Source organism: Homo sapiens, chromosome 20 (genome assembly GCF_000001405.40).
Source record: "Homo sapiens chromosome 20, GRCh38.p14 Primary Assembly".
Taxonomy (NCBI): domain Eukaryota; kingdom Metazoa; phylum Chordata; class Mammalia; order Primates; family Hominidae; genus Homo; species Homo sapiens.
This window is the reverse complement of record NC_000020.11, coordinates 16,679,482-16,687,659: the sequence shown is the minus strand read 5'-3', so window position 1 is coordinate 16,687,659 and position 8,178 is coordinate 16,679,482. Positions and strand designations below refer to the sequence as shown.

The window sequence follows — 8,178 nt, the reverse complement described above, 5'->3', positions numbered from 1 at the left end:
CCATCATAAAAAGAGAAATTGGGCCTTTTATCTCTCTGTTTTATCAACCATGCTGAAAATCAATAGTGTTTCCAGGAGGTGGGGTGCCAAGGCTCCCAGCAGCCTGTTTGACCCAGAGGAAAACACAGGTCTTCATTACATTATGGCTAGAAATTTCTTAGCTGGGGAAAGTCCTCAGGAAAAGAATCATGGGTTTCTGCATTTCCAGATAGAGACTTTAGAGACAGCCTATTTGGGGGTCTCTGAACAGAAAACTCGCTAAACCAAGTAAAGGGGGCTTTCCACAGTGCTTACTGGTGGGTCTCCATTCATTCCTGAACAGCCCCTCACTTCCACTTCAGCATGCTGTGTCCAAGATAGGCAGCTTCAGCCACAGCCAGGAGACAAGGTTCTAAGAGTCCCCGAGATTTGCTGAAAGCATACAAGGCCCATAATTCTTCAGCCTTCCTGATCTCCTCCCTGTGCGTGGAGGGAATAATCTAAGAGGGAGTGAGTTCATAGTGTCATCATGTATGTATTAGTTTGACAGAAACGGAAAGAAATATGAAAAGAAGAGGAACTTCTGTTTTATTTTTGTGACCCTATAAATAAGCTCTAAACTGCCTTCCAGGAAGACTGGGCACTTCATATTTCCACCAGCCATGCATGAGACTATACTTTTCCCCAGAGTGATATTGATGTTATAGCTCTTCCTTACAATTTTCCATCTGATAGGTGTAATGTCTTGTTGTTAGCTGAATTTGCATCTCCCTGAGGATTTGGTGTATTTGGTATCTTTTCACATGTTTGTTGACCATTTGGCAGCATCCATTAGAGTTTAAATTATATATTTTTGGTGTAGCAGTTGCTTTCCTGGAAATGTTTCCTATGGAAATAACATCATGATATGTGCAGACATATTTATAGTAGCATTTTTCATAGCTACAACTTGGACACAAAGTCAATATTTATTAAGAGAAATGGCTGGCTAAATTATGGTACACCTATACTGTATTAGACAGGGTTCTCCAGAGAAACAGAACCAATAGGATAGAGAAAGAGAGAGAGAGAGAGAGATAGACTATAATGAATTGGCTCAAGTAATTATGGAGGCTAAGAAGTCCCATGATCTGCTGTCTGCAAGCTGAAGACCCAGGAAAGACAGTCCTGCAGCTCCAATCTGAGTCTGAAGGCCCGAGAACCAGGAGAAGCGAGAAGATAAGTTCCAGTCCAAATATAAAGGCCTAGGATCAGCAGAGCTGAGGGTGTAAGTCCCAGTCAAAGGGCAAGAGAAGATCCATGTCCCAGCTTGAAGACAGGCAGAGAGAGCAAATTCTCTCTTACTTCTCCTTCTTGTCCTATTCAGGCCTCCAACAGGTTGGATGAAGCCTACTCACACTGGAGAGAGCCATCTGCTTTACTGAGATTACTGATTCAAATGCTAATCTCATCCAGAAACACCCTCACAGACAAACCCAGAAAAATGTTAGACCATATATCTAGATCCTTGTGACCCGGTCAAGTTTACACATAAAATTAACTGTCATATATATATCGTGACAGGTTATACAGACATAAAAAAGAACAAAGATTTCATTGTGGTGTTATTGAATGAGTTAGGTAAACAGCAGAAAATAGGTACACATGATCTCATTTTTGGAATGCAGAACCATCCTCGAGCCCAGCAAAGAGGATCCCTTGCCCTGGACCTTGTGCTTTAGAAGGCTCTGTTCTGGCCCTTTTCCAGGGATATCCCTCCTCAGAAAGTGGAGGTGTGCAGAGCTCAGGAGACATGATCATCCAGAGACCCCGTGCCTTCATTCAGGCTTTGGGACCCTGTAATTTCTTCTCCAAACAGCTCTGAACCCATTTCCAACGTCTGCACAGACCTCTTTCCTTGAGCCTTCCTCTCAAGGGTAACCATGCTAAGTTACACACCCCTAGGCCCAAAGAGAGGCCACAGGGTGACTTTTTGCGCATAATATGGATGGGGCTTGAACTTGTAGGCTGAAGTGTCCATGTGTACATGCACAAAGATGGAGTCAGGGCTAAGAAGAGAAGGGGGTAGACCATAAGCTGATGGCCTCCATTTGTATTCTTGCCCCAGTCCTGCACCTATGAAGGGCAGGCCACCCGCAGACATGATGCATTAGGCCACGACAAAGACACTCTAAGCAAACATTGCTAGGAAGGTATTTAATGTAGCTGCCTGGGTGGTGTCAGGTTCTGTATGAATGTATGGTTCTTTTTCCATTCAGTTTTCAGGCAGAGGGGACTGTTCCGAGAAGGGGCTCTTTAGAACATTGCACATGGAGAAGATGCAGCCCATCAAGCAGAACAGTTGTCCCTCCAAAGAGACAGAGTAGCCAGCCTCTGCAGTTAGTCCTTCCTGGAGCTACAGGCACAACCCCAATATGGAAAATAAGCAACACAAATGGCTTCCAGGACACACAAACTGTGAGACCAGAGCATCATGGAAAAGGCTCAAGAAATCCAGCTCAGCCCCAGAGCACATCTCTGACCGCCCCCGGTTAAAGACTGTAGATGTGTGTCAAGACCCAATGTAGGACTTTCTGTTTATTGATACGAAAGTTTGCCTAATGCAAGGCACAGATTTCTCACCCCAGACAACAAATCCATGTGTTGAGGAACCATTGCATGTGTGTTTATACATAGATAGATGAATGAGGTGGTTCCTGAATGAATATAAGACTCAAGATTTTGGCCAAGACTGGGAAAATCCAAAGAACACCTCTTCCAGACTCAATTGTAATGAGATCTTTCTGCGTCTGGATTTATTCTGTGTCACATGAAAACCTGTTAAACTTCCATGGAAAAAGATGTCTTGAATATTTTATGCCTTATTCAAATGCTTCAGATATTTATTTCAGCTTACAGATGTTGAAACTATCTTAAATTGTCAAATGTTTTGTTGGAATGAATCTTTTACTTCAATAATTTTTTAAGGTTTTTTTTTTTTAAAGCCTGACTCAAAGCAAAAGTAAAACAGATAAAAGCTGAGTTGATTTATCTGAATTGGAGCTGGAGATTCCTATCTTCACTCACTGGCTCCCGCTCTCCCATCGCCCCTGGGAAGAAATATCTGGGAAAGGGGAAAAAGAGATATTGCCACTAAGTCTCTTTACTTCCTTGAGCCAAACTTAAACATCACTGACCAAATTCCCTCTTTTTATTTTAGATAGAGAAACTGAGTACTTAAGAGGTTAACCCTTAGAAGGAGTAAAGGTTTATTATTATTCAGAGTATATAAAACACTTCCCACCTGCCTTGTGTTGAAAGACAAGGGTCCCTTACGGCATTAACAAAAGGAAGGCAAGAATGGGACGTCTGATCCACAAGATGACCTGCGCCTTTGTCACCTTCATGCAGGTTAACTTAGAAGACAAAGGAGTTTTGGCTAAGCTGGTGGAAGCTACCAAGACCAATTACAACAACAAATATGATGAGATCCATCATCACGGGGGAAGCAATGTCCCAGGCCCAAAATCCATGGCTCACATTGCCAAGCTGGAAATGGCAAAGGGTACAGATTTGCCACTAAGCTGAATTAAATGTACACTGTTGAGTTTTCTGTACATAAAAGTAATTTAAAAATTCCCCTTCCAAAACAGTGTATATAAGGGTATAAATATAATAATAGCAATAATGATCAGCACTTTATGGGCACTTACTCTCTACTAGGTACTGTGCTAAGCATCTTACCTCCACCTCTATTACCTCACAAAGCCCTTTTAACAACCTTGTGAGATGGATACCAATATGTTCTTTGTTTTCAGATGAGGAAGCCGAGTCTTCAAGATCTAGCAGGGGAAGAACATGCACTTAGATCTATAAACCCTGATACCAAGATCTTAACCTCTATTGTCTAGAGCAGAGTTTCTCAACTGTGGCATCACTGACTTTTGGAACCAGATTATTATTGTTACGGGGGACTGTTCTGTGCATTGTAGGGGGTTTAGCAGCATGCCTGGCCTCTATCCATTAGATTTCAGTAACATCCTCTCAGTTATGATGATCAAAAATGTCTCCAGACCAGGCACAGTAGCTCACATCTGTAATCCCAGCAACTTGGGAGTTTGACACGGGAGGATTGCTTGAGCCCAGAAGTTTGAGATTAGCCTGGTCAGTATAGTGAGACCCCATCTCTATGAAAAAATTTGTAATTAGCCCAGTGATGGCATCATGGGTAGTCCCAACTCCTCTGGAGGCTGAGACTGGAGGATCGCTTAAGTCCCAGAGTTTGAGGCTGCAGTGAGTTATGATTGCACAACTGCACTCCAGCCTGGGCTACAGAGTGAGGTCCTGTCTCTTAAAAAAACATTATTTTAATTGAAAAAAAAGTCTTCAGACATTGCCAAATGTCAACTGGAGGACAAAATTGTCCCCATTTAGAAACACTGATCAACAGACAGATGAAGTACTCATAAAATTATTTTATGGTGTGCTATCTCCACGTAGCTGCCCAAATGGACGCGTATCATGGACCAGCTAATGGAGGGCCTCATACAAGAGTCACTTTGGGAAATCATTGATGAAAGACATTTGTCTTGTGCACTCAACCAACTGGGTGATTTACTGACTATTGTCCCTTTTCACATGATCACTGTGGAGCCCCACAGGCACGTATCTAAATGTCCCATCCATAATCATTTCTTCTGACAACATTATACCCAATATGAGGAAGTTGCAGGTTATGGGAGCCTGGAGATGATTCTATGTGGGGGTCCGTTGTAGAAACAAGGAATACAAAACTTCTATGGATAAAAAATTCGGTGCGGGGCCTTGGAAGTGCTTATGTAAGTGAGGGGCCCCTAAACTTACATTTCATCTGCTATTTCATCTGTGCACACAGGCAAGGTCTTAGATTTCCACCTGTTTTACTCACACGTAGGAAGCTTGACTCTGTTTGGTGTCATCACTTAGCATTCTTCCCCACTCGGGTAACATAACCATTTTCTCTTTTATCATGGCCTTGTGATAAAAGGGCAATTGAGGCTTCCTTGTCACACCAAGGTTTATGTGATATTGCCCAAAAATGTGGTATCCAAATCATGGAAGGGCATTTTCTTGCTTAGTAGCTGTTTAATACAGCTCATGGAAAGTAAAAAGGAGTAAATATTTGAGAAATTGAATTCCATTTCCCTGATAAAAGTCATACTACAGGTTTGAAGGAGCCAACTTCCTGACTATTAAGAATTATGTTTTACTTCCCTGCTCATCAAGTGTCCTACAGAAATTTCCTCATCAGTGATCTTTCTTTCACTTTATTAAGTACAGAAAATGATTGGGGTGAAAATCAACTTGATAAACCCCTGCAATAATTTCATTTGAGTTTTAAAAAATTTCTTGGCTGGGTGCAGTGGTTCAAGCATGTAATCCCAACACTTTGGGAGGCCAAGGCAGAAGGATGGCTTGAGCTCAGGAGTTGGAAACCTGCCTGGGCAACATAGAGAGATATTAGCTGGGCATGGTGTTGCATGCCTATAGTCCCAGCTACTCGAGAGGTTGAGTCCAGAGAATTGCTTGAGCCCAGGAGTTCAAGGTTGCAGTGAGCTATGAGATAATGACACCGCACTCCAGCCTGTGTGACAGAGTGAGACCTTGTCTCAAATAAATAAATATAAAAACTAAATAAAATTTCTAAAAGCAGGAAAGAGTAAAAATCTGGTAAAAAGTGTTGGTGAAGACTGGATTAGAGTAATGAGGAAATGCAGCCTGTCTCATAATGCAATCCATACTTCATTTGGTGATCTCAGAAGAGGTAGCACATTTTTATTGCACCCCTCTCTACCCAGCAGATCCTGCTATCCTTCCCAATTAAGAAAGACAAACCATAGTCTTCTTTTCCTCCCCTGCTTCATGTCAGACTCCATCTTCCTTTCATGTTTGCTTTGGAAAAAAATATAAAAAGTCAAGCTATAAAATCACAGCAATCCAATCTCTTCTTCTTCCCCTGTATCCTCTGAGAATGACCCATAGTTGGGTCATTCTAAATAAATGTTGCTTTCTAAAAGTTCTAATAGAGCACCTCTTAAGAGATCTCTGGGTATTCCTCCATGTCCTTAGAGAATAGATCCCTTCACAATTCAGGGCATCCTTCCCCTGCTTGCTGGGAGTCTTGGTAGATAACACAATGCACAGCTGCTTCTTTCTCCAGAGGATTTCCTTGGTCAAAGGTGCATGAGTCTGCTCCGTTGACATAAAGTACCGAGGGCTGTGGGGCTTAAACAACAGAAATTTATTTCCTCACAGTTCTGGAGTCTGAGAGTCCAAGATCAAGGTGTCAGCAGAGTTGGTTTCATTCAGAGGCCTCTCTCTGTGGCTTGCAGGTAACAGCCTTCTCTGCATCTTCACATGGTCTTCTTTCTGTGTGCCTATTTTTTGTTTTTGTTTGTTTGTTTGTTTTTTGTTTTGGAGACAGGGTCTCACTCTATCACCCAGGCCGGAGTGCAGTGGTGTGATCTCAGCTTACTGCAACCTCCACTTCCTGGGTTCAAGTGATTCTCGTGCCTCAGCCTCCAAGTAGCTGGGATTACAGGCACATGCCACCACACCCAGCTCATTTTTTTGTATTTTTACTAGAGACAAGGTTTCACCATGTTGGCCAGGCTGATCTTGAACTCGTGACCTCAAATGATCTGCCCATCTTGGCTTCCCAAATTGTTAGGATTACAGGCGTGAGCCACCATGCTGGGCCTCTGTGTGCCTATTCTAAATTTTCTTTTCATGTGAGAACACTCATCATATTGGACTAGGGCCCACCCTAATGTCATCATTTCCACTTAACTTTAATATAATAGTTAAGTTAAAATGAGGACAGGATTTTAAGATCCTGTCTCCATATACAGTCAAATTCTAAGGACTAGGGGTAAGGATTTCCACATAAGTAGTTTTGGGAGACTCAGTTCAGCACCTAACAAGGAGTAGTGTCTTGTTCATTTTTGTAAAAGAATGTCAGTTGTTCAGGGATTAAATGACCTTCTGAACAATCCACCAAACCATCCACCAGCACTTCTAATTTATAACCTGTACTGTTGATCTAAGTCATTCTTAGAAGAGTTGTTCTGGTGCAGACCTTCTTGTAGTTTCAGAGTTGGCATTAGAGAACAAACAATGCTTGTCTTTTTTTCTTTAAAGATATAAATTATAGACATACGCTAACCTTATATATATCTTCTGGGTATCCAGGTTAGTTACCTCTTTAAAGACCTCGTCTCTAAATACAGTTGCATTCTAAAGTACTGGGGGTTGGGACTTCAGCTCATGAAGAGGGGTGGGCACAGTTCAGCTCATAACAAAAGAGCTATGGCTGACAGGGGGTTCAGAAGGCTGGCCCTCTTGCCTGAGGATAAGGCCGCAGCTGGTCTACACCTGAAACCACACCCTTGGTTTGCTTTTATTCCCCTGCCCTCTCCTGACCCTTTCATTTCCTTTTTCCTGAGAGCTGTTCCCCCAACAAATCTCTTTCACAAGAATCTCCATCTCAGGCTCTGCTTCTAGGCGACCTTCGGAGCATTTTCTTTTAGCATGGATCAAAATCTTAGAATCCAGGAGACCCAGTTTCTAGCCATGGGTCCCGCTTGCTGTGTAAACTTGGATAACCTGAGCATCGTCACCCACAAAATGACAGTGGTGGATTCGGTGACCTCTGCAGTTCCTGCCAGCTCCTATGGGCACTTCATTTCTGAAACCAGCCAGTTCAGTGCTGCTATATTTCTGTCACAACTGATGCATCCACTGCAAAGCCTATTTTTACCGAATTGGAGCCCTTATTGACAACAACCCCCATTCCTGTATGTTTTTTCTCCTATTTTAAATGGTTAAACAAGACAGAAAATGATAAGCAGCTGCAGAAAAACTGCCCCCATGCTGCCAGCCGCAGCAGCTTTCCCACGCCTCCCTCTTCATCTTGACCAAACTTTAAGTCAGACCATTATACACACTCCAATCTGCAACTGGAAAAAGAATCCCTCAGAAACTATTAAATTACTAAGAATAACACAGGACCATTTGTTAATCCATCCAGTAAATCCAGTTTTTTTCCCTTATCCTGCATTTGAGTAAATCACTGAGGCTAACATGGCCACTAGAAGAAGTTTTGTATTTCATCAAAACTAAAAAGTTATCAATAATAAGACATTCTGCTGTTTATGTACAACTCAAGGAAAAAAAAAATTT

General features: G+C 42.2%; 1 pseudogene; it reads right to left on the bottom strand.

The window, feature by feature from the left end:
* RPL7AP13 (ribosomal protein L7a pseudogene 13) lies at positions 3,255-3,603 on the bottom strand (annotated as a pseudogene).